At 38.9% G+C, this 27,784-nt stretch overlaps 4 annotated features.

Annotated features, from left to right (window-relative positions):
- Positions 5,468 to 5,627: a transcriptional cis regulatory region, noted in NCBI's record as "candidate enhancer chr4.1625 targeted for multiplex CRISPR interference". NCBI's record gives its function as "positively regulates NMU gene expression with high confidence in K562 cells {active_cell/tissue: K562}" and the evidence as "EXISTENCE:mutant phenotype evidence [ECO:0000015][PMID:30612741]".
- Positions 11,646 to 12,372: a transcriptional cis regulatory region, noted in NCBI's record as "candidate enhancer chr4.1626 targeted for multiplex CRISPR interference". NCBI's record gives its function as "positively regulates NMU gene expression with high confidence in K562 cells {active_cell/tissue: K562}" and the evidence as "EXISTENCE:mutant phenotype evidence [ECO:0000015][PMID:30612741]".
- Positions 12,423 to 12,886: a transcriptional cis regulatory region, noted in NCBI's record as "candidate enhancer chr4.1627 targeted for multiplex CRISPR interference". NCBI's record gives its function as "positively regulates expression of the NMU and SRD5A3 genes with high confidence and the PDCL2 gene with lower confidence in K562 cells {active_cell/tissue: K562}" and the evidence as "EXISTENCE:mutant phenotype evidence [ECO:0000015][PMID:30612741]".
- Positions 15,820 to 16,185: a transcriptional cis regulatory region, noted in NCBI's record as "candidate enhancer chr4.1628 targeted for multiplex CRISPR interference". NCBI's record gives its function as "positively regulates NMU gene expression with high confidence in K562 cells {active_cell/tissue: K562}" and the evidence as "EXISTENCE:mutant phenotype evidence [ECO:0000015][PMID:30612741]".

The raw sequence follows: 27,784 nt of genomic DNA on the forward strand, positions 1-27,784 counted from the left end.
CACTTATTCACAGCCCCCTAGATTCTTAGAAATAGAAGGCTTTCACTGACTGTCCTCATTTAACAAAGAAATGGAAGCCTAGGGGGCTTAAGTGACTAGTCCTAAGACACACACATCATTCCTTGCTTGAACAACTTCAAATAGGGCAGTGGTCCTTAAATTAGATCCACAGACCCAGGGGTCTTCATGGATGAATTTTAGGGGTCTATATATCCCTGAGAGTTAGTACACAGAAATGGAAATGAATGTACATGTGTACATTTTAATTTTTTCTGTTGGAATGAGTCCCTAGCTTTCATCAAACTCTCAGCTCTCAGCACAATGCCTGGTATATAAGGCATACCTAGGAAACATCAGTTGACTTATGTGTGTCAAGTTCTCAACCACAGAAAAGTTAATAACTACTGAAATAGGGTAAAATAGAATACAGTCATTCTCTGGAAAATAATCCTCACTAGTTCCCATCACCCAAATGCCCTATGTATACAGAGTCTTTCATCATCCTGCTGTTCTGAGTCCTGGATGAATTACACCATGCTGTGCTTGTCTATTAAACCAATAGAGAAAGATTTTTTAAATCACTATTTCATCTCCTTCAGGAAATCATCCATTTTTTAAATTTCACTTTACTATCCTATTTAATTAATAAGGGTTTAAAGGTAGTTAATAAATTATAATTAATTTAGGAAATGACCGTTTTGTCCTTATTAAAGTAATTCAAATTTTAAATGCTTGTAATTTTCATTAGTTCAATCAAGTAAGACAGCCCCATTCCAATTAAACCTAAGCTAACTTACTTTACTGTTAGTCCAGGGAAAATCTCTGATACATTGAGCACATGTGATAGAATGATTATTAAAACTGTGACTTTGATAACTTAATTATTTCTGTAAAGAAAAAAAAATGTGACTCTGAAAAAGGCAGGGAAATGCCTTGGGTCCAAGACAGGTGGTATCATAAGCAGAGAGCAGCAGCCCCATGGAGTAGGTGCTCAATACATATGTGATGAAGCAATGAATTAAAAAGAAGTAGCTGGCCGGGCATGGTGGCTCACACCTGTAATCCCAGCACTTTGGGAGGCTGAGGTAGGCAGATCACCTGAGGTCAGGAGTTTGAGAGTAGCTTGGCCAACATGGCAAAACCCCATTGCTACTAAAAATACAAAAAGTCAGTCAGGCATGGTGGTGCATGCCTGTAATCCCAGCTACTCGGGAGGCTAAGGCATGAGAATCACTTGAACCCAGGAGGTGGAGGTTGCAGTGAGCCAAGATTGTGCCACTGCACTCCAGCCTGGGCGACAGAGCGAGACTGTGTCTCAAGAGAAAAAAAAAAAAAAAGAAGCAGCTGATGCTTCTAAGAGAACAGAAAAGGCCGGGTGCGGTGGCTCATGCCTGTAATCCCAGCACTTTGGGAGGCCAAGGCGGGCAGATCATGAGGTCAGGAGATCGAGACCATCCTGGCTAACGGTGAAACCCCGTCTCTACTAAAAAAAAAAATACAAAAAATTAGCCAGGTGTGGTGGCGGGTGCCTGTATTCCCAGCTACTCGGGAGGCTGAGGCAGGAGAATGGCATGAACCTGGGAGGTGGAGCTTGCAGTGAGCTGAGATTGTGCCACTGCACTCCAGCCTGGGTGACAGAGTGAGAATCCGTCTCAAAAAAAAAAAAAAAAAAAAAAAGAGAACAGAAACTCTCTTTGAGCAGAAAACTATCCACCTTAAGAACAGCTAATAGGACATCCATCAGTGGAGGGATATATAATGGTGAGACCCTTGTCTAAAAGATCATGGTTTTTTTGTGACCCATTGAGGAATGGTGCCATGCTGACAACTATCAATATGGATATCAAATACAACTATCTGTCTGTAGTTATTAAACATTTCCTTCTGTCAATTTGTTACTAAGGACATGCCAATATGGAAGAAGCCCAGAGGTCCAGGGACAGGGCCTCAAGACGGAAGAAGTATGATACCCTACAAGAAGCAAGCCAGGCCATTTGTGCCATAGATATGTGAAATAATGAATTATGTTAAAAAATCAAATCTTATTTGGAAATAATGTATATTGTTAAGTATTTACAGATAATGATTAACTTTGCCAATGGAGGTTAAAAGCTCTCTTCCTTACAGTACAGGGTCTTACTCATGTTTATGTCCCCAATCCCAGGAAAGAGTAGCTGCTTAATAAATGATTGTGGATATAAATTAAGTTTAATCAAGAACATTATTAAGATAATCAAGGAAGATCTTACAAAGTTTTGCCATTTATCTTGTCTAGTTTGTTCAGCTACCTTATATTACAAGGAAGGAGTGACTTTTGCATCCTACAAACTTCCTGGAAGAGTAATTATCAGTTAGACATCTAGGGACCATCCAAGACTTAAATGAACACAGGAACTTTGAGTGCTCCCTTGGTGATCATTTTTATCAAAAGGATCTTTCTATCTCATTACTCTGTACTCCTTTGAGCAACAATCCTCAATATTTTAGATAGTAAAGAACCTAAGAGCCAGATGTTCAATGAGACACCAAATTTATTCCATTTATCTTACCTGGAGCTGAGGTTTCTTTGTGTTTAGCGTTGTTTTTCTAGAAGCTGAGAATGATGTCTTGGGAGAGACTGTGGATGCTTTCAGAAGAGTACATATTTTGTTGTTACAGATTTTTATTTTAAAATTATTCATATTATGATCCATTTATTAGATGAAATACTAGGCATTTCTTAAAATGGACTCATAGGAGGATATTTAACGAAAAAGGCAATACATATTTTAAGCTTTTTCCTGATTTTTATGGTACATTGAAATTATTTTATGTAATTAATAAAAATAAATATGAGACAGATAACAGGCCCACTATTGGTAGATTCCAACTCAGAAATCAATTTCAATATTTGTGTAGCATCATTTCACAGAAATGTTCTTACTTTCTAAACTTCTCCCAGGTACATCAACAGTTCCTGTTGGTGGAAGACCAGTGTGGAAATTTTTTAGGTTGGAAGAATCTGTCATTACCCAGGAATGTACAGATATTTTCTCATAATTCATCTGAGTAATTACCAGACAATGGCCCTGAAAAAAAGACTGAATAACTGACTACCAAAGAAACTTGGATTTCTTTAACGCATCATCTTCTATATTGACATGTAAAGATTATTTAATTCAAAATTCCAAAGAGGAGTTGAAATTACTCCTGATTAGTTATACTATTGAATCATCGAATATGTCAATGGGTAATCTATGGTCAGGTTCAACTAGCTCCTAGTTCTAGAGATGATCATAAATATGAAGGCATTATAGAAGATATGTAATCTTTGGTTGTAGCTCTCTACCAGAATTTTAACTGAAAAAGTTAATGCTTCTATTACATACTTACAGATGTGATTAATACAAGGAAATCTGAGTTTAAATTATCAGAGATAATGTTTGTTCCAGCCCTGAAAGAAAATGGGGGATTCAAGATGCATTGAAAAAATGTCTATTTATTCATACAAAACACTCATTGAGATTATTACGCACTAGGCCTAAGATAAAATGAGCAAGGCAGAGACAGTCCCTCACTGTGAAGTGTACGTATTTATCCACTCACAAGTACTTCTTGAGCATCTTCTATGTGCCAACATTGTAGATTTGGGGTGGAGAGGGTCATAGCCCATAGTGCTAGCCTTGAAAAGGAACAATATATTCTATTTGTGCTCCACCTGGAGATATTGAGGAAACACACTACTTAAAAAGTTGGGGGAGACCATTACATGATATCATTTAAGCAAATGTGCAGTGGTATAGGCAGAGTAATTTGAGGTAGGATTGTGAAATAGATGACATTTGATTGCAGTGCTCCACTTCTGTTTTTATATGTATATTTCCTTTCTCTGAGTGTCTCTGAGGCTCCTCAGCCCCTTCTTGTGGTCTCCCCCTTAATATTCACCATCTATGTCCTCACAGTGAATTCAAGGCCAAATAACTAATTTGATAAACTAATCTCTAGTAAATTGCCATGGAAAATAATTTAGGGTTAGTCTCTTAAATAAAAGATATGAATTTTAACTTCAGCCTTGTAGAGACACCTGGAATACAACCATCATGCCTCATATTATAATTATGCTGTTAATTTATGTGCAAACATCAGTGCAAGGTACTATGTGTTAAGCACTAAGGTGATGCGTAAAGGAATAAGATGCTAGCTCTATCTATCAGGGGTCTCATGAGTTAACAAGGGGGAGAGATCAATATAGAGACAACTTTGATCAAGGCAGTTAATAGCATGGGCGGAATAGGCACAGTGCCAAGAGAGGGCTGAGCTTTCACCGGTGCCAGCTGTTGTGCACGCCTGAGATTCTGACGCTTGATGTTAATGGGCGTTTGTAGCTAAACCTGTTGTCACATTTCTCTAATGAAACCAAGCCCTAGGCAGGGAAGTGGAGAAGTGAGGGGTGACCCCAGTATAACAGAGGAGCAGGGCAATTAGTGAGCTCCCCATGGGAAAGATAACCTCTAGAAAGAGAAGGCAGGGCTCTGAGGTCCAGCCATTCCCATCCACATGAAGAATCTCTGTTCTTTCATTAGCTTGGAAGGTCCAGGTCCAATTTTTCCAAAGAGTTAGCTTTTTCTTAAATTCATACATAGCTTTTCAGAGATAGAAGCGGGGCTGATGAAAGGTTACTGTCCCAGCCTACCGGGTCCAAAGACTTTTGAAGGAGTTTTGTCTTTGTGGTTTAACCCAGCAATGATGAATACTGGTAATTCCAGGTCAAGCTGGGGGAAAGATAGTGCCCTGGCAGGGCAACAAGGATACAACTGTGGGCAGCCAGTGCCTTAATTACCACTCAAGTTACACTCAGCTTTGGAGGCTTATGCCAGGAAGATAGGTCATGAAACTTATCTACAGGTCCCAAGTGCATCCTCAGGTCTCCTGGATCCTTCCCTTCTTGTATTTTCATTCCTGTGACATAGATCAGATTTTTCTTTCTCTCTAGATTACAACAACAATATTCCCTGTTTCCAATAAATCTGATGGCAATGCATCCTCTTTTTTTTTTTTTTTTTTTTGAGATGGAGTCTCGCTCTGTCGCCCAGGCTGGAGTGCAGTGGCACAATCTCAGCTCACTGCAACCTCCGCCTCCCGGGTTCAAGCAATTCTCCTGCCTCAGCCTCCCAAGTAGCTGGGATTACAGGTGTGTGCCACCACGCCCGCTAATTTTTGTGTTTTTAGTAGAAATGGGGTTTCACCATGTTGGCCAGGCTGGTCTCGATCTCCTGACTTCATGATCCACCTGCCTCGGCCTCCCAAGGCAATGCATCCTCTCTTAGCAGTCACCAGAATAATCCTTAAACACAATTACACTGTGTTAATTATATAGATAAGGGTAGTTTTCTTCTAATGTTTTTTGGAGGCTGATCCTAAAGTATTGAAAGCTTCCACCTACCTCATCTCATCTAAGTTAATTTCTTCATCCCTCTATGTTACACACACTCTCCTCTCCAACCCAGAAACACAATTTAGGCTTATCTGCTGAAGCATGTTGTTACACTATCTGTGCTATTTACTTCTCTGGATGCTTTATCCAGAGAAGTTACCCCAAAGCTGGCTTTACACGTGTTATTCTAGGAAACCTCTAATCATTGACTCTAACTTAACCTTTCACATCTGGAGTCAATGCTTCCAGTATTAATATTAATTTGCTTGTGAACCTGCTTGTTTCGATTTCTTTATTCCAAATGTGTTATTTTGTTGTTTCATGTCACATTCTAACTTCCTAAGGAGCTTTCAAAGCCTTGAGATCGGAAACCATGTCCTCCAGTTGTGTTTTGTTTGTTTTTGTACTCTCTGCATCCCATCTCCCAACTCTCCAAGACAGTTTATTTTGAGCTATATATTTCTATCAATTAGCGGATCATGAAATCAGTTTAGTAAGTCTCCTACTAACATCTCTAAATGAAATAGAATTGAACCTAAGAGAATTGAAAACATGAGAGTGACAGACGCATGGTAAGGGCAAGTATCTTTCTGAAACTCTGACACAGGAGTGTGCATCAGGCTATGATATAAAATATATTTCATACTATGAGTTGTGGTCAAAACAGCTTGAGAAACACAGGTAAGGATGAAACATCTGCCTGAAGCAAGAGATTTACCTTGTGCAAATTTATTTGGGTCCCCCTAGCATTTGCTCCCAGATTCCTGGCTTTAGTTTGGCTTTTGGTGTCACCCAGTTGGCTCCAACCATTACCCAGGTGACCTCTCAGGTTGGATCCTGCTTGCCCCTTGGATTGCAGGCTGACCTCAGCATGCTGCTGTTCACACTGACCCTATACACCTTGGTCTCGAAACTTTCTGCCCCATATTATTTTTTTATATTTTGAGATGGAGTCTTGCTCTGTCACCCAGGCTGGAGTGAAGTGGCGTGATCTCGACTCACTGCAACCTCCGCCTCCCGGGTTCAAACGATTCTCCTGCCTCAGCCTCCCGAGTAGCTGGGACTACAGGTGTGCGCCACCGTGCCTGGCTAATTTTTGTATTTTTAGTAGGGACAGGGTTTCGCCATGTTGGCCAGGCTGGTCTCAAACTCCTGACCTCAGGTGATTAGCCCGCCTTGGCCTCCTAAAGTGCCGGGATTACAGGCATAAGCCACTGCACCCGGCCTCTGCCCCACATTATACCGGATGCAACCTTGCTCCGAGCAAAAGCCCAGACATGATGATGAGAATACTGATATACATAAATGCAGATACCTGGCTCTTTTTGGAAAGAGAGTCCAATATTCTCTTTCTATGTTAAAGTATTGGGTGCCTGGTATCTGATTTTATCATATAATGGGAAAAACAGACTCCAGGAAATTAACATTTCTTGGAGCTTCCTGAGAGTAAAACTCTAATTCATGGAGGAGTACTTAAACCCATGATTTTAAATGAGCAACTTAGTTGAATTTTGAAAATACAGCAGCAAAAATTCAGCATTCTTGAAGAAATAAGTCCTGTGAGAAAAATATTCTAATTACTAGTTACATCTGAGATGATATAATTTTTCTAACTTTCCTAATGCAAATGATTGGCTTTAAAAATGGCCTAGAAGGGACTTTCCTCTACAATAATTTTGCTTAAAATATACAAATTAGGTAGTGATTTGGAGGAAATCTGTAGCTTTTCTTGTTGCCATGGTAACAATCTACGTTTCCTTATATTTGTACAGTCAGAATGGTCCATGCATAGTTTGCCCTGGAGCCGTAGATGACGATGTTGGTGCCATGGAGTGCTCTCACAACATTTGAAAAATGATAATCATATCCTTATCTTATTTGCTGCCATTTAGCCAATGTAGAGGAAACAACATATAAATGAGGTTTCTTTTGCAGAAGCAGCTATAACCTAATGAAAAGCCTGCCAGTAGTTCATTTTATTAGACGTTAATATAATGTACTAAGTACACACAAGCTAGAATAGAAGTTCCTTGAAAAAAATTGAGGGATATCCAGTCTCCCCAGCATAATTATATGAATGGCTTTACAGTCTTGGCATTGAAGACTTGAGAACTTGAAAAAGACTCAGAGAAGAGCTAGCAAGATATCGATGGAGTGGGAAAGAAGGTCCTTTGATGAAAAATACTAGCACCATCAAGATTACACTGTTGCCTGATTTCTACAGACACACAATAGTAAGGAGTAGGTGATTTCATGAGAGTATGGGTAAGTCAGGACTGAATTATTAACACTAAAACTCTGGTGAAGGTTTGAAGCTGGTCTCTGAATGTTTCCTCGTCCAAAAGCCACAGCTTTGCCCTGGGTCGGGTCTGTATTCCAGGAGAGCAGGCACTGTCTATCATGTGGGACATGACTAGTGTTCAATAAATATTTGTAACACTTGGCTTCATCTTATATTCCTATATTTATTTTTCTTACATTTGCATTTTCTCATTTATATTGTATTTTCTTCTATAGATTTCCTTTATGGAACAGGGAGGGTTATAAATTAAATGTTGTTGAAGAGAAAAGGAAGAAAATAAAATGGGAGGGCCATAAAGAACTTACAAACAAAGGTGCAATGTATGGGGTTTGAAGGATGGAAAAATCACCTATCGATGGATGAGCCAGGAGAGGTTTCATGGAAGAGGTGATTTTTGACATGATTATAATCAGTAGGTAGTAGTGTGACTGGCAGAGAGGATTCTGAAAGGTGAAGACAGCCAGGCCTTCCAATTCATCAAAACAAATTTGTACTCAAATATTTATTGATTCTGAAAAAGAAACTGAAAAGTACAAAATATAACAATATAACCTGTAGTATTGGCATAAGGAAAAGTGAACCAGAAAGGCTATCTTTTCTCTGGGCCAAGAGGAAAATAATGGGAGATTCCTGTTGAGAGAGGAAAACAAATTTATCAGAATTTAGAATCATTCTCCAGACTCTTTTTTTAATTTTAAAACATTTTTTGAATGTTTGTCAGTACAGAGTAGGTGTATATATTTAACATGAGATATTTTGACACAGGCATGCAATGCATAATAATCACATCAGGGTAATGGGGTGTCCATTATCTCAAGCATTTGTCCTTTGTGTTACAAACAATCCAATAATGCTCCTTTAATTATTTTTAAATGTCCAATTAAATTATTTTTGACTATACTCACCCTCTTGTGCTAGCAAATACTAGATCTTATTCATTCTTTGTAACTACTTTTTGGCCGCATTAAATGTCCCCACTTAACCTCCATGTTTCCAAGCTTCTGGTAACCACGCTTCTATTCTCTGTCTTCATACGTTCAGTTGTTTGCATTTTTAGACCCCACAAATAAGTAAGAACAAGTGTAGTTTGTACTTATGTGTCTGACTTATTTCACTTAACATAATGACCTCCAGCTCCATCCATGTTGTTGCAAATGACTGGATCTCATTTTTTTATGGCTGAATAGTACTCCATTGTGTATATGTACCACATTTTCTTTATCTATTCATCCGTTGGTGGAAATTTAGGTTGCTTCCACATCTTAGCTATTGTGAATAGTGCTGCAGTAAACATGGGAGTGCAGCTATCTCTTCAATATACAGATTTCCTTTCTTTGGGGTCCTAGCAGTGGGATTGCTGGATTATATTGTAGCTCTATTTTTAGTTTTCTGAGGAAGCTCCAAACTGTTCTCCATAGTGGTTGTACTAATTTACTTTTCCAGTAGCAGTGTACAAGGATTCCCATTTCTCCACATCCTTGCCAGCATTTATTATTGTCCAGCCTATCATTTTAGTTCTTTAAAAGTGGCTGTAATTTCTCTTGTTCATTTCATGATCAAAGTCAAAATGCATTACTTCCTAATCTATCAATCCGTACTCTTGGTCCAACAGAACCCACTAATCATTCCCTTCCATCTCACATGCACCTCCACCTGCCCGCTCTAGCCTCACCTGAGAGTAATGAACATGGCCAGGGCATCCTCCAAGACCGCGGGAGACTAAGGCTGCATTATGGGACGGTCTCCTGGGCTTCCTAGCACAATCTGGCCCTCCAAGATTATCCTTCTCCTTAGGGATATCTAGCACATGATCACCCCCACTATGACCCTGCTGGACTTAAGAGGGTGAAGCTTCAAGGACACCCAAATCCTTTCACATCTGAACCAAATGGACCGAAGCTTTGAAAGAAGCTGGAGTTTCCTCATGGCCTGTCTAGCCTCCTTGGTGAATTCTGGTGTCCAGAGGACCTTTCATTTGCTCTAATGGCTGCCATCCAGTAACAACATCTTTCTCAATAGAGAGGTACCACTCAGTTTTTACCCATAAGGGTACAGCCTAACCCAGCCCATCAAGACAGGGACACCACACAAGCCTAAATATTCTGTTTGCCCTGAGAGGGCTGGAGGCGGTTATCACCCCTCCCATCTCTGTGGCTGAATTCTTGACTGATGCTGTATTTCCCAGGATCTTCTCTGGTCTCCCACAAGCACTAGAGCCCTGCCTAAAATAGTTTCAGTTCACTGGAGCCCTAATTCCCACATCCAGAATATGATAGCCCTGTTTCTCCAGGCTATATCTTGCTTCCAGGACGCCTTCCAGATATACCATCTACACACCCTTCTGAATCCAAAAAGTCCTTGCTTCCCAGTCTTGCCCTACCCTCTGAGAGAGAGTTTGAATCCTGATGCCAGATTGGGTTGGACTAAAGCAATGTTTTCCAAATTTCTCTAGTCATAAAAGCTCATCAGGAGCACTCATTAAAAATACAGAATCCTAAGCTCTCTCCTAAAGATCCTGCTGTGAGAGACATGGGGCAGGGCCTGGCCGTGTATTTTTTTTTTTTTTTTTTTTTTTTTTTGAGACGGAGTCTCGCTCTGTCGCCCAGGCTGGAGTGCAGTGGCGGGATCTCGGCTCACTCCAAGCTCCGCCTCCCGGGTTCACGCCATTCTCCTGCCTCAGCCTCCCAAGTAGCTGGGACTACAGGCGCCCGCCACTACGCCCGGCTAATTTTTTGTATTTTTAGTAGAGACAGGGTTTCACCGTTTTAGCCGGGATGGTCTCGATCTCCTGACCTCGTGATCCGCCCGCCTCGGCCTCCCAAAGTGCTGGGATTACAGGCGTGAGCCACCGCGCCCGGCCCTGGCCGTGTATTTTTAGCAAATGTCCAAGATGATCGCTAGAACTTTTTGATATTTAGAGAAACACTAGATTAAAGTTTGCTATACTTTCTTAGACCTGGTGATTTGGGTTTCTAGCCCTAGAAGGGCTCAACCCTTTTGTCCCAACTAATTTCCCGTTGCTTCAACCTCAACCACTTCAATCCTGCCCTTCTTTCTTCCATTTCCCAGCATGTCTTATAGCCAACATCACCCTCACCATGATACTCCTTATACACAGAAAGACTTCCCTAAGATTCTGTTACTAACCTTGCAGGGAACTAGCCTCACCTTCCCGCCCCTTGGATCCGTCCCCTTGGACAGTATGGCTGGCCCATATCAGAATGGAGTTTTCCACACTCCATGGACATGGTGATTTTAATCTCTGGGCCTTCCTGAGAGGGCACCAGCTTTTTATATTCATTAGTTTCTTTTGGCCCTTGCTGGTAACTTCCTTTTTGCTGGATGGCCTATGATCAGCCTATTTATGGTAATTCTAACACTTCAAAACAATATAGAAATACAGTCTCTACCATAGTGTTATGCATATACCTATATCCTCTAATAATTTTTCCTAGGGGTGTAATGTTTACAAGATTTGTCTCTTCCATTTAACTACAGACCTAGTAATTATTAAAACCACTTATTTAGCACCTTTATTTATGCAAGCCATTTTATAAACATATATAATACAGTAAATATTTTAAATTTTCGTTGTATTTCTTTTCTCCTTGAGAATAGAGTCCAACCCCTCAACTTGTTTCTTATCCTTCCTTATTTCCCACAGAACTAAAATGCAAAGACACAAAGTAGGCAGTCAGTAACTGATTACAACATTAGTTAATAAAATAAATGAGACATGTAAGGTATACAACTGAGTGATAGTGAGAACACATAATTAACCTCAAAGACTAGAATGCTTGGAAATCATTTATTAGATGAATGTAATATATCAGGCATGAAATGTCAAAAAGAGAAGAAAGGTCTGCATTTTTGGACCCCTAGGTCATCCTAGACATTAAAGAGGGCCACACCCCCCTGGCAATGAAATGGGACAAAATAAAAATTTGGCCATCAATACTGCCTCTGGGAAATCTCAGGCAAAAGGAAGAAAATGAGAAATAGAAATGAAATCCTAAGCCCACCAAGCAACAGAACAGACCTCTTCTTTGCCAAGGGACCCCAGAGAAACTCAAAAACTGAGTTCCCAGCCATGACGGGATGGGAGGTTGGAGAAACCTCATTATAACCCCTCCCTCACCTTTTCCTAAGGGTTAAACAGAAACCAGCCCTTTGGAAAGACTCACTCCACCCCTAGTATCAACCACCTGATGCGACCTCTCCCTTCTGTGGTTTCTACAAAATAACCGGCCAGCATTCCTTCCTGATAAGAGACCATGGAGGATGCGCAGTAAGGGTTTTCATGTCCTCTGCTTCAACTTTTGACCTCAGAGGGCTGAAAACTCCTCCCTGGGATCATGCTAACTCCACTATTTTTTGAACATGGTACCCATGAAGGGGCATGAAGTTTACTGGGGCATGTGCATATTTCTCCTTTCATAAATATTCATGACTCCTGCTATAGTTTATTGAATATGTATGTTTCGCCACCCCTTTCAGCATAAATTCCTGTTCCCTTTGCTCCTCCCTCAAAGAGCCTGTTTCTAGCTTGTCAGAATGGCCACCCTGTAAGATGCAACCTTATATGAGAAATAAAGCTCCGCTTTCCAAACGAAATAGAGCTACATATTAATCTTAATCTACTTGACAAGTGGAAAATAAAATAGAACAAATAAAAACACAACTCAACTCAACTCTTCTGCCTGAAAATACTGAATGTTCAGGTTGACAGAAATCTAAAAAATGGTGTTTTCCATGTTTATGCTGGTGTAGATCCTATGGAGATGAGATTAGCTGATTTAGGGCTTGTAAAGCTAAGAAATACAGGGAGAAGTTCATTCTGTTTCTGGGAATTCTGATCCTAGATACTCTTCTTAGAAATCATGATAGCTTTCTCTGAAAATGCTTTACTTTGAATCAGTTGCATTCAGGAAAATAGATAATTCTAGCAGAAAAAGGGTAGGATGGCTGTGAATTCATAAGGGAATGGTCACTGACTAAGCATCTGGTACCTCCCAAGCTCCATGCTCAGTGCTTTGTGCATACTCTCTCTGCTGAGGTCCAATGGCACCTGGCATATCAGAAAACTGAAGCTCTGGGAAGTGATATACTTTGTCCCAGGTCACTGAGTCACAGAGCCAGGACTCTGACCTAGGTCAGTCTGACTCCAGAGACAAAGTTATTTTCCCAACATCCAGTTACCAACCCAACTCAATCAAAGGCTATTGAGCACTTGTGCCAGACACTGTTCTAGAACTGGGATGGCAGTGATCACAGACAAAATCCCTGCCTTTGAGGAGTCTACATTCTAGGGGTTCCCAGATTATCATTTGGGATATTTAACATATTTAAGATCATTTAAGATAACTTTGAGATATCTGGAGAGACACACCAAGAAAGGAATGATGAAGCTATCAGAATCCTAAATCAACAAGAAACCACATCCAGAGATGTTTTTTTACACTTATTTTTCTAAGGTTCACTAAAACCAAGGCAATTTTTTTCTTTATTTCAAAATGAATGAAAGGCAGAGAAGGCATGCATGCAAGGAATGACATTAGAAATGGCCCGATTAATGTCTCATAAATGTTAACTTTGTGATTCATCTGCTACATTGCATTAAATACCCATAGATACCAGGGTCCACTTTGATATTTGTTTCTTGTGTCATATGTAATAAAAGAAGTCATGTTCTCTATTCCACACAGACACTCCATGTAGCTGCAATTGCAGTTCTTATTCTGGTCGTCTCTTGACCTTAAAACTTCTAAAGGCTTTGGAGAAGAGTTTAGAGTGGCCCAAACTATAAAGAAAATTGAATTTAGCAAGCAATTCCCAAGAGTCTCCAAAGTTCATTTATGTAATTGCCAATGCAGAATCATTTTTAAATCTTGAACAGAAACCTCCTTTTGCTTTCACATTTTTTTCCTAAGTATAGAATAAAAATCAATTAGGAATAATTGTCTTCAGATTTGGTATGATACTGATCTAAAGATTCAAATAAGCATCAACCCTGAAACAGCTTTGGGAAAACCTACTTTAACCCTGTAGTAAGGAGATCTTGCATTGGAATGAGAAAATTAGCAATTTTGAGTGCCCCCTTATATTGTCAACATTTTGACCAAGGCGAGTGTTATTGAAAACACTACCAAACTGGAGGTGCCTTTATTTATATGTAGTTATGTTTGTTGCTTTTAAAAATCTAGACACATTCTTGCCATGCAAAGGAATAATTCAGACATTTAAATGCTGAGACTCTTGCCCTCAGTACTAAAGTATAAATAAAGAGAACTTCTCTGCTCTGCTCTCCCCACCTACCTCTGCTAGTCAGATTCTTCCAACACCCCATCCTCTCTTCAGAAATACGTATGAGTGCACACAGAGCAGAGACCAGATTTATGACTATAAATGGAATTTGCTGACCTGGATTTGGGTTTTGTGAGGATAAAAGAGAGAGATTACATTAGGCACAAGGAAGAGAAGGCAGTGAAAAAGGGAGAGAGAAGCGAAGAACTTTCATATATTAAAAAGGAGCAGAAGAGAGTGATGGAAACTGGACCAATGGGAGGGAGAGAAGAAACTAACACTGAAAGGAAATATTATTGAGGAAACTGTGACCAGAAAATTGTTATGGATTATTGTCAACCTTCCTTTTTTCCCAAAGCATTTGGTGTTACTTCCTTATACAAGTAGTCCAAGAACTCACATTCTGGCATTTAAAATTTTCTTTAAAAAAAAAAATTCATATACCTAATTACTTCTTTCCATTCATTTGTTAAAATAATAAACATAAAATTGATCTTTATGTTTGAAATAGTTTCTCACAAGAAATTGGAAAAATAGTACAGAGAATTATCATGTACCCTTCACTTCCCCCAGTATTATTACATATCCCCAGAGCACATTGTCAAAACCAGGAAATTGATGTTGTTCATTATTATTACCTCAGATACAGTCCTTATTCATATTCCAGTGTTACTTACACTTTTTCTTCTTTTTTTTTTTTCTTGGTCTATAGTTTTCTGAAGTTTTATCACACATGCAGATTCGAATAACCAACACCACAGTCAGGGTACAGAACTCTTCTGACACTACAAAGAAACCCCCAGTATTCTTCCTTGAGAATCACACCGTTCTCCCAGTGCTGGTCCCAGGCAACCTCTGATCTGTTTTCCATACTATTATTTTGTCACTTGGGGTTAGTTATATAATCAATCATGTGGTATACAACCCTTTGAGACCGGCTGCTGCTGCTTCTTTTTTTTTTTGAGAGAGAGACAGGGTCTTGCTACATTGCCCCAGCTGGACTTAAACTCCTGGGCTTAAGCAATCCTCATGAGTAGCTGGGACTACAGGCATGTGCCACTGCACCCGGCTGTGACTGTCTTTTTAAGCTTGCCTTTAAGATCCAGCCTTCACATTGATTTTTAAAGTTCCAATTAAGCAAAATTTAAAATAAGACCAACACCTTATTATCTAAACATTTGTTTTCCATGTGCTCTATTCAAGAAAATAAAGTGATCAGAATAGTTTTTTTGAAATTAAAAATAAAGAGAGAATGGTGACATGCAATTTGGAATGAATTGCACAGTTAATAATTTAACTTTTTTGGAGGTGATTAAGAAGAAACAGCTTTGGCAAGTTGAAGCATCATATTCTGACTTCCCTACAAACTATGATATTAGGATCCTTGGGACCATAAGCATTTTAGTCCATGGCTCAAAATGGCTATTGCTATTTTAGGAGAGCAGACTAAAGTTTTCGAGATAAAATTTGCATTAAGAATCAGTTTCACAGAACCCAGAGCTTGATCAAATGCTGATTACCACAATATTTCTCTATCTGTAACTGGCACTATCTATGAAAAGCAGCAGATTTTCATAACCATTTCCATCACTAATAAAGTGGCGCATTTGCAAAGTTTCTATTAAGATACGTTTATTCTCTCAGAATTTTATAGCCTTGGATTTTAAGAATTTAATGTAAAACCCACATGAAGCTAAATGTTAACAAAACAGTCAATTCTTCCTAACAGAAGAAGCATTTGTGGCTGTATAAGTTTGAAGAATAAAAAGTAATTCAGATAAATGGACTTTCTAAAGGACTCGTTTTGGCATAAAAACAGTTTCAGAAAGATGGTATATAAAGTTATGTCCAGAAACTGTAGAGTTGGTATTTAAATAAATATTAATAGGAAAGTTCTGCTAAGCCACTGCAGGAACATGTATCCTAATGGGTGTGCCCAGCTGGCAGCTTTCCAGTTGTACAGCCTCATATGACTCACTGCGTTGGGGCCTTTGGCCTGGACTACCTGCTCCAAATGCACACAAATACAGAGCTTCTTACTCGGTCTCCCCTGGAACACCTCACCTCACCTTTCAGACTTCCTATTACAGCTGTGGCAATGCTGCCTTAGGTGGACTCCTGCCTGGAAAGAAACAGGTTTTATGGTGGTGCAATGCCCCAGGTGGCATGCTTGCTGATCTTCAAGCTGTACTAGCAGAGACCAGCAGTCTCTATCTGGACAGACAGACCACTTCCCAGCTCCACTTTAAAAATCACAGCCTTTCTGCTTTTGTTCAAAAGTCAAAAAATGACAGATGTTGGCAGGGCTGTGGAGAAAAGGGAACACTTATACTCAATGTGAATATATTGGTGGAATGTAAATTAGTTTAGCCACTGTGGAAAGCAGTTTAGAGATTTCTCAAAGAAGAGTTGAATGACCATTCAACCCAGCAATCCCATTACCAAGTATATACCCAAAGGAAAATAAATCATTCTACCAAAAAGACCCGCACCTGTATATTCATTGCAGCGCTATTCACAATAGCAAGGCCAGGCACAGTGGCTCACACCTGTAATTCCAGTGTTTTTAGAGGTCAAGGCAGAAGGATCCCTTGAGGCCACGAGTTCAAGAACAGTCTGGGAAACATAGTGAAACCCTTTCTTTACAAAAAATAACTTAAATAAAATTAACTGGGCATGGTGGCATGTGCATGTAGTCCCAGCTACTTAAGAAGCCGAGGCAGGAGTATTGCTTGCGCCCAGGAGCTTGAGGTGCAGCAAGCTATGATCACACCACAGAACTCCAGCCTGGGTAACAGAGCAAGACCCGGTCAGTCACTCTTTTTAGATCATACTCTTTTTGAAAAACAAAAAAACAACAAATATAGAGACAATAGCAAAGACATGGAATCAACCTTAATGCCCATCATTGGTGGATTTACTAAAGGAAATGTGGCACATATACACCATGGAAAATTATGCAGCCATAAAAAAGAATGAAATTTTATAATTTGCAGCAACATAGATGCAACTGGAGGCCATTATCCTAAATGAACTAACACAGAAATGGAAAACCAAATACCATGTGTTCTCACATATAAGTGGGAGCTAAACATTGGGTATATATGAACATAAAGATAGGAACAATAGATACTGGGGACAACAAGAGTGGGGAGGGAGGAAGGGGGGCAATGGTTGAAAAACTACCTATTGGATACTCTGCTCACCACCTAGGTAACACATTCAACCATACTCCAAACCTCAGCATCATGCCATACACCTTTGCAACAAACCTACACATATACCCTCTGAATCTAAAATAAAAGCTGGAAAAAAATCACAGCCTTTCTGAACATGTGCAGGTGGCAAAGAGATACTATGCACAGTGCAGCTGAACAGCTCTTTTCTGAAGCATCAGGCCCGGTGATTTGGAGGCAGGGTAACATTTGGGGGTTGGGGAATGGCTAACCCAGCAGCAGGAAGGGGGATTTTGTTAGGTCAAGGGGAGTGGTGGACATACCCAGTTGTCAGGGATAGCCATTCAAGAAGGTGGGCAGGCAACTAGCCCCAAAGAGGTACAAAAAAACACATCAGGTGGTTATCCCAGCAGTGCATGGGCCGACAGGGAACTGAAAGTAACAAGATGGTAGAGATCCAGCCAGTGGTCAGCATCAGGAAGATTTGGAAGCAGATTACCAAGGTAGGCGTAAAGTTGAGGGGAACGCAGCAGCATCCCTGTTACTGGCACTGGGGTACAATTTTGAGTTAGAGCACAGGAATAAGGTAAGGAAGGGAAAGGAAAAGGTACTGAAATTGATAGGCAGCCTACTAACCTAGGTGCTTTAAGCATATGATCTTATTTAATTCCCACAACAACCATGCAAAGTAGGAATTAGCCTTATTATATAGGAGAGAAAAGTGAAGTTCAAAGAGAAATGAATTTTGCCAAAATAACACACTTAAGAAGGGGGGCAGTCAGAATTTGAACTTAGGACCAGCTGACTCCAAAGATACCATTGCTGTATTCCCATTGTCATTTGTCCTCATTATTTTTTAGTGCCAAATCTTTGAGAACACAGCCCCCAATGCATATTTCCCATTGTGTCATTTATGTTTTCCCCTTTAAATTACATTGTATCATAAATTAGAGACTTTAAAAATTGGTCTAAATTCACTTCCAGTGCCTATGGGAGGGAAATAAGGGTCAGACCTCTCTGCAAATGATGTGTGGAGGCAGTCAAGAGGAAATCAGTGGGTTGGATGAACAAGCTTCTGCAGGGTCCCCTGAGGATGAAGATGAACCAAAAGCAGCAACCAAAACTTGGAGTATAGGGCTAGAGTGTGTTTGGTGAGGCCAGGTTGGATCCAGAAAACTAGACTCCTCCCATGAACTTTTCACAGTATTCCACAGCATTTCACAGACACACAGTGGGGGCCGACGGCTCCAATGGAGCCAGTGTCAGTCCTAAGGAACTTCAAGGAGGATATGTAAACATATAGATTTTTTTGGTCCAAATATTTATTGCAATTCTCTTGATTTTTAAAATTGTATACTTTATATCCAAGAAAATAAAAAATAATTTAAACAGCAATCTCTAGTTTTCCTCCTAAATGTCATCTTTCAAATACAAATCTTGTATGTTTTTATACAGTATAAATATTTTCAAATAAAGGGTGGTTGGCCATGTATCTTTTCCACCTTCGATAATAGGTGGAAGGTGTAGTAAATGTAATTTTTAAAATTAAAGACTGAAGTTTATTTGGTATTTCAGAGCACCACCTGGTGGATTAATTAACGATAACAGTCCAAAACAAAAATGAATCTTAAAACTGGCTCCGAAATAAGAAGTATTGGAACCCTTATGAGGCTCACTTCTTCTATTCTTTTCCCTCTCCTTTAGTTCTCTTTTTCCCCTTCTCTCTCTCTTTCTCTCACTCTTTTCATTTCCTACCTAGTCATTTCCTCCCTCCTATTTTGTTTATACCTTAGAACTTGTCCACATCATCTACTGGTATTGATGAGTCCTCAGAGTGGGTAAGGAGCTCACTTACTTATGCTTGGTTTAATAAGATCTACAAGGTCTCTAAATTTCAAGTAGAAAGGCAAATATAGAGTTGCAAAATTCAGTTGTCTTTCAGAGACTGAATCTTTTTACCTAAGGATGGGCCTGTATTTCCCCAAGGTGGAGTTTTTGTTTGTTTGTATGTCTGTTGTACACACAACATTCATTCCAATAGAACCCCTCTTTCCTATTTTATTTGTAAATAATGCCTAAAATTGACTAATTTTCAGTGTTTTTGCCTGTTGTTCTGAGTAAGCTACCCAATAGCTTTTGAAAGAGAGGCAAGCTGGTTTACTGCAACCTTCTTAAAGGTATCTGATCTCACATGACCCACATGTAATATGAATGAATGGAACAGGAAAGATATAAGACACTAGGGAGTGGGGAGACTGAGGACCTGGAGACCTCAAAGCTTGTCTATGGGGGTACACATTATTCTGATCCAGCTGCTGCTTTTAGTTTTTTAAAGAGAAGCCAAAAACTTGATTTTTATTTTTATGAAGATCCTTAAGTATTTAAATGTTAGCAAATTTTCAAAACATACCTGCAGACCAGAAATGGCGCATGGGCCAACCTCTGATTTAAAGTGGTGGGAAACATCAAAAAAGCAATACACCATGATCAAGTGGGTTTCATCCCAGGGATGCAGGGATGGTTTGACATATGCAAGTCAATAAATGTGGTACATCACATACGCAGAATTAAAAACAAAAACCATATTATCATCTCAATAGACACAGGAAAAACAATAAAATCCAGCAGCCCATTATGAGAAAAATTCTCAACAAACTAGGCATAGAAGGGACTTAATTCAGAATAATAAAAGCTATATATGACAAACCCACAGCCAACATCATACTGAATGGGGAAAAGTTGAAAGCATTCCACACTGAGAACTGGAACAAGACAAGATGCCCATTTTCACCACTTCTATTTAACACAGTACTAGAAGTCCTAGCCAGAGCAATCAGGCAAGAGAAAGAAATAAAGAATATCCAAATTGGAAAAGAGGGAGTCCAACTATCACTGTTTGCCAATGATATACCTACAAAACCCTAAAGACTGCTCAAAAAGACTCCCAGATTTGATCAATGAATTTGGTAAAGTCTCAGGTTACAAAATCAGTGTACACAAATCAGTAGCACTTCTATACACTAACAATAACCAAGCTGAGAATCAAATCAAGAACTCAAAATTAGCCAGGCATGGTGGTGCGTGCCTGTAATCCCAGTTATTCGGGAGGCTGAGGCAGGAGAATAGCTTGAACCCAGGAGGCAGAGGTTCAGTGAGCCGAGACTGCGCCACTGCACTCCAGCCTGGGTGACAGAGTGAGACTCCATCTCAAAAACAAAACAAAAAAACCAATAAACTCAATTCCTTTTACAACAGCTGCAAGAAAAGTAAAATACCTAGGAATATACTTAGTCAAGGAGGTAAACAATCTCTACAAGGGGAACTACGAAACACTGCTGAACGAAATAACAGATGATACAAACAAATGGAAAAATATCCCATGCTCATGGATTGGAATAATTAATGTTGTGAAAATCACCATACTGCCCAAAGCAATCTATAGATCTGATACAATTCCCATCAAATTACCAACATTATTTTTTCACAGAATTAGAGAAGACAATCCTAAAATTGATATGGAACCAAAAAAGAGCCCGCATACCCAAAGAAATCCTAAACAAAAAGAGCAAATCTGGAGGCATCTCATTACCAGACTTCAAATTATACTCCAAGGCTACAGTTACCAAAACAACATAATAGTGGTATAAAAATAGGCACATAGGCCAATGGAACAGAATAGAGAACATAGAAATAAAGCCAAATACTTACAGCCAACTGATCTTCGACAAAGCAAACAAAAACATAAATTGGGGAAAGAATACCCTATTCAACAAATGGTGCTGGGGCAATTGGCAAGCCACATGTAGAAGAATGAAACTGGATCCCCATTTCTCACCTTAAATAAAAATCAACTCAAGATGGATGAAAGACTTAATCTAAACCTGAAACCATAAAAATTCTAGAAGATAACATTGGAAAAACTGTTTCGGGCATTGGTCTAGGCAAAGAATTCATGGCTAAAACCCCAAAAGTAAATGCAACAAAAACAAAAATAAATAAATGGGATCTAATTAAACTAAAAAGCTTCTGCACAGTAAATGAAATAGTTATCAAAGGAAACAGATAACGCACAGAATGGGAGAAAATATTGCAAGCTATGCATCTGACAAAGGACTTGTATCCATAACCTACAAGGAACTCAAAGAAATCAGCAAGAAAAAAATAATCTATCAAAAAGTGGGCAAATGATATGAGTAGATATTTCTCAAAAGAAAAGGGGGTATACAAATGGCCAAGAAACATATGAAAAAGTACTTAACATCACTAATAATCAGGGAAATGCAAATTAAAACCACAATGAGATACCACCTTAATCCTGCAAGAATGGCCATTATTAAAAAGTCAAAAAACAATAGATGTTGGCATGGATGTGGTGAAAAGGGAATGCTTATACATGGCTGGTGGGAATGTAAATTAGTACAATCTCTATGGAAAACAGTGTGGAGATTCCTTAAAGAACTAAAAGTAGATCTACCATTCAATCCAGCAATCCCACTACTGAATATCTACCCAAAGGACAAGAAGTCATTATATGAAAGACACATGCATACATATGTTTATTACAGCACAATTCACAATTGCAAAGATACGAAACCAACCTAAGTGTCCATTGACTGATTAGTGGATGAAGAAAATATGGCATCTATATATACACCCACGGAATACTCTTCAGCCATAAAAAGGAACAAAATAATGTCTTTTGCAGCAACTATTAATCGTGCCTGTAATCCATTTTTCTAAGTGAAGTAACTCAGTAATAGAAAACTAAATACCGTATGTTCTTGATTGTAAGTGGAAGATGAGCTGTGAGTATGCAAAGGCATACAAAGTGATGTAATGAACTTTGGATATAGTAGGAGGAGGGTGGGAGTGGAGTGAGGGATAAAGAAAAACTACACATGGGTACAATGTACACTACTTGGGTGACAAGCGCACTAAAATCTCAGAATTCACTACTACATAATTCATCCATGTAACCAAAAACCACTTGGACCCCAAAAGTTATTGAAATAAAAATATATTTAAAAAATAATAAAGTGGTAGGAATATAGACAACTCACTGGATGATACAACATGAGTAAAGAATAAGTCTGAGGATAAAATCCACTCTGTTCTCTGAACAAACGACTTTTATTATTCCCAAGGATCTCTATCGCCTCTCACACTCTGAATCCACATTATCTACCCCCATTCTTGACATAATCACATCACAGGATCATATAAAATTGAGATATCCTGGCAGTGACCTTTTATCCATGAGAATGACGTTTGTCTTGAAATAATCTGAGGTTCAGATTTTGGCTCCAATGAGAAGCTGCTGAGCAAAGCTAAGAAAAGCAGTTATAGAGTTTATAGGCTTCAGATGTGTACTGTCAGATTAATCCATATTTAAGTTTAAAATGTGTAAGTTAAATATTTGGATTCTAATTTTGACCATTTATAAAACCTACTCATTTATACACCCTAGTGGGGCAACCAGAAGCACTTTACTGCTAACTGATTTAGGAAAGATGTTGATGGAATTAAGACAGTCAAAGAGAAAAAAATTAATTTCCTTACAGTTCTTTGGGAAACAGTACATGGGGTTTTGTTTGTTTCTACTTTTTGTTTGGCATGAAAAAAACTCATAGAGTGTGATGTTTTAGTAACAAATTTCATGGCAAAAATGATTTGAAGGAGAGGAAGGAATTAGGAATATTTTGTTATTATAAAGTACTTGCCATTAAGTGGTATAGTGTTGAGAGAGTGGGCTTGGATTACCTGCAAATGTACATTACAAACTCTAGGGCAACTACTAGAAACAAGTTTAAAAATATATAATTGACATGCTAAGAAAGGAGAGAAAATGGAATCATAACACACTCAATTAAAAACCACAAAAGGCAGAAAAAGTTTGGAGAACAAAAATAGAAACTAAGATCAAGGGCAACAAATAGGAAACTATAACAAATATGGTAGATATTAATGTAACTCTATCAATAACCAACCTAAATGTCGATGGTCTAAATATAGCAATTAAAAGACAAAGATCGTCAGAGTGGATCAAAGATCAAGACCCAACTATACATTATCTACAAGAGACCCCCTTTAAATATAAAGACAGATATAGATTAAAAGTAAATGGGTAGGTGCTGGGATAATTGGCAGCCACATGTAGAAGAATGGAACTATATCCTCATCTCTCACTTATACAAAAATCAACTCAAGATGGATCAAAGACTTAAATCTAAGACCAGAAACCATAAAAATTCTAAAAGACAAAATCAGAAAAACTCTTCTAGACATTGGCCTAGGCAAAGAGTTCATGACTAAGAACCCAAAAGTAAATGCACCATAAACAAAGATAAATGTATGGGACTTAATTAAACCAAAAAGCTTCTGCACAGCAAAAGAAATAATCAGCAGAGTAAACAGACAACCCACGGAGTGGGAGAAAATCTTTGCAAACTCTACATCTGACAAAGGACTAATATCTAGAATCAAGGAATTCAAACAAATCAGCAAGAAAAAACAAATAATCCCATCAAAAAGTAGGCTAAGGACATGAATAGACAATTCTCAAAAGAAGATATACAAATGGCCAACAAACATGAAAAAATGATCAATATCACTAATGATCAGGGAAACACCAATTAAAACCACAGTGTGATACCACCTTACTCCTGCAAGAATGGGCATAATCAAAAAATAAATAAAAATAGATGTTGGTGCGGATGTGGTAAAAAGGGAACACTTTTACACTGCTATTCTACTAAGAGTAGAACTACCATTTGACCCAGCAATCCCACTACTGGGTGTCTACCCAGAGGAAAAGAAGTCATTATATGAAAAAGATACTTGTACATGCATGTTTATAGCAGCACAATTCACAATTGCAAAAATATGGAGCCAGCCTAAATGTCCATCAATCAATAAGTGGATTTTAAAAATCTGATATATATTCCACACACCATGGAAAACTACTCAGCCAAAAAAGGACGAAATAATGGCATTTGCAGCAACCTGGATGGAGTTGGAGACCATTATTCTAAGTGAAGTAACTCAGGAATAGAAAACCAAACATTGTATGTTCTCACTTATAAGGGTAGCTAAGCTATGAGGAAGCAAAGGCATAAGAATGACATAATGGACATTGGGGACTTGGATGGGGAAGAGTGGGAGGGGGGTGAGGGATAAAAAACTACACATTGGGTGCAGTGTATACTGCTTGGGTGATGGGTGCACCAAAATCTCTGAAATCACAGCTAAAGAACTTATCTATGTAACCAAATACCACCTGTTTCCACCAAATTATTGAAATAATAATAGCAAAAAAATACTTTCCCATTAGCTCCGTGAAGCATTTATCTTTGTATCTTATCTCTTGGTACAGTATTTGGCACAGACTCAGCATTTGGTGAATGCTTATTGAATGAGTGGAAGAATGAGTAGAAAAGCCACTTGTCTAATTCTGAGAGTTATCTGGTTGAGACCATAACATTTTGACACAAATTGCAATTTCTTCATTTTTCTCTTCACTTTGCCCATCCACCCTGTAAGGAACATGGCTGTGCTTTAGTCAAGCATAAGCCGAGGTAAACATCCAAAGTGACTCAGCAAGTCTAGAGTGCAGATGCATAACTCCACTTGTTATCACAGCCATGTAGCCATAACATGGGAAGGCTCATCATTTGGCTCTAAGCCAGTAATGTCTGTAAAAGGTATAACTGCCCTGCTGACACTGTACAGGCACTGGTGCCCAGAGAAAGAGAGGGAGTCAAAGTTGTCCGTTTTTCAGACAGACAGAGGGGAGCCAGGGCACAGCATGGCTTGGCTCGTGCCCAGAGAGAGAGAAAGAGTTAAGCTGCTGACCCCGAAGGCAGGGGAGAGCCAGCCACACAGCTGTGTGTGGGAGCCAGCTGCTGAGAGGAGCCGCAGGGCTGGAGCAGACAGCAGAGACAAAGCTCAGTGTGAGAGAGCTAGTGGGAGTAAGCTGCTGATGAGAGAGCTGCTGAATAAAACTACATTTCACCTGCTTACGGCCCCCCTGCGTGTTCTTTCAGCTACATGCCCATCTGCCTACTCCCCTCGAACCTCAGCATGGGCTGGAACCTGAACCCAAGCAGGGCATTTGGCATAGTGATGAACCTGACACACTATATCCCAGGAGGCACAAAACTGTGCAACCTCTCTACCCTTTCTCACTCCAGGAAGCATTTACCTGGAATTTAGTCTGGAGCCACAAACTCTAGAGCCCACCAAAAAAAAAAAAAAAAGTAAATGGGTAAAGAAAGACATACCATGCTAAGGGTAATCAAAAGAAAACAGGAGTAGCTATATTAACTTCAGACAACGCAGACTTCACAGCAAGGGAAATTGTCAGGAATAGAAGGGGATATTACATGATGATAAATCGGTCAATAATCAAAGAAGACATAACAATCCTTAATGTGTATATGCCTAAAAAAGTGTCAAAATGTGAAGCGAAAATGGATAGAACCTCAAGGAAAAATATTTGTATCCGCTTATAGCTGGAGACTTTAGAAATGAACAGATCCAGCAGGCAGAAGAGTCAGGTTAAACTCAACTGTACCATTAATCAACTGGAAATAATTGACATGTGCTCCACATTTTGAAATGTATTCACTAATTGGGTAATACATTTTTGTGGTGTGTCTCTCCTTTTAGACGTCTAACTTCTTACTGGCAAAAGTATTCTGCATTTCTCATTCTTTCCTTTCTCTGGGCCTTTATTCCTCATATAAAAGTCTAGGCTGTAAAAGGGAGGCATGAGCAGAAATGAGCTCTCAGAATACTGCTCTAACAAAACCAAACATAAAGGAAATAAAACATAAATTGAGCTGCTTTTAAGTTCTATGGCCCTCAGCTGCTTGGCTATTGTAGCACTGGACCCCTATTAACTCCAACAGGGATGGCACCAGGTTCAAGAGGCCAAATAAAAGACCTGCAGCCAGTGAAGAAAAAATAGGGCTTATTTGGAGGAACTTACAGGGTGGCCCAGTAGTGGTGGGCTGGACGAAAAGAACCACAACCGCTTATGAAATGCAAGCAATTTATATAGCATTTTTACTTAGCACTCTCCCCTTAGCAACCTCTTCATGGCAACCCTCATTTCTTAAGTGATTGCTGTCAGGTGTATCTGCCATACGGGGTATGTTTAAGTTATGCTTTCAGGTGCGTCTACCATACAGTGATGATTATCCTTGATTTTCAAAATGTTTCCATTACTTGTCTCATAGTCTAGTTCATTCATGCACTTATTCTTAGATAGAGTAATCTATGGCCAGTCTGATATCAGCCGTGGTAAATACATGACTCATATGTAAATTAAATACATGAAGATGTACTGACCACATCAAATGCGTTTGTGTCATGAAATTAACAGCGTTAAGAACACACATGTGCAGGTACGTGCACACATACACACAGTGCTCACAGATGCTACTAATTTCTGACAAGTGATTGCCCTGCCTGATTCAGTGATGCTCCAGGAATAGACCAAGCAGTAGGAAAGAATAGAAGACCCAGAAACAGATGCACTCATAGGGTTTATATAACAGTTTTAGTATTTTTAACCTGTGCTATTCATTCAGTCATTTATTCATTCAACAACTATTTATTGAATATGTACTAAATGTCAGGCACTGTTCTAAGTATCCTGAATAAGAAAAAAATCAAAAACTATTTTTTATTTTGTTTAATCTATGGCAGCTCAATGAGAAAGGTACTAGGAAGTCCATTTTATCAATGGACAGGCATAAGTAAATTTACTTGACCAAATAAATATAACCAACAAGTGGTAACCATGGGGTTCAGATTCTAGTCTATATGTCTTCAAAGCCTATGTGCTTTCACCACACCCTGTTGCCTTCCACCATAGAAAACATTTAGAAGGGATTAGCCTGAATTTCAAATCAAAAATTTCAAATGACTCTGTCAATGACTTTCTTTTAAAACTGTTAAGAACTGTCCATGGTAAATGCACACCTTAGAAAGCTGCATGTTTCTTGATATTGTTCTTGTGCTCTCTGTGCAAGAATACAGTAAAAATCCTAGAAGACAATGTAAAAATAATGAATCTCTCTTTCTCTCTGTACACACACACACACACACACACACACAAGACTACACACACACATAAACATATATGAAGCAACCTTGTAAAGTCATTCACCCTATTCTTCCCTGGCCAAGTCACATGATTTCAAAAAATCCCATATACCTCCCTTGGAATAAAAATTTGCTAGAAAAATTGTTCATCATTTATTTTGAGAAATAATTTTAATGGTGGTAATATTTTACATTAATATTACAAGATTAATAAATATTACTTAATAAATTAATTTCTTCTTACTTAAAAATAAATGCATGATAGTTTCAGGTAGCTTCAATTATTAAAAAATAGATCTTTAAAAATAAATAGGCTTTTTCCTAATTTCTAAATTGCATAATTTTCTTATAAAGTGGTGACATTAACGGCCCTTCAAACAAGCTATTCTATTTCCTACGGTGTATTTTTCAACAAGTGATACTACATGAAAAGATACTGGAGTACAAACGTATACAATGATTTTTTAAAGACAATAGTCA

Source organism: Homo sapiens, chromosome 4 (assembly GCF_000001405.40).
Source record: "Homo sapiens chromosome 4, GRCh38.p14 Primary Assembly".
In the NCBI taxonomy this organism is placed as follows: domain Eukaryota; kingdom Metazoa; phylum Chordata; class Mammalia; order Primates; family Hominidae; genus Homo; species Homo sapiens.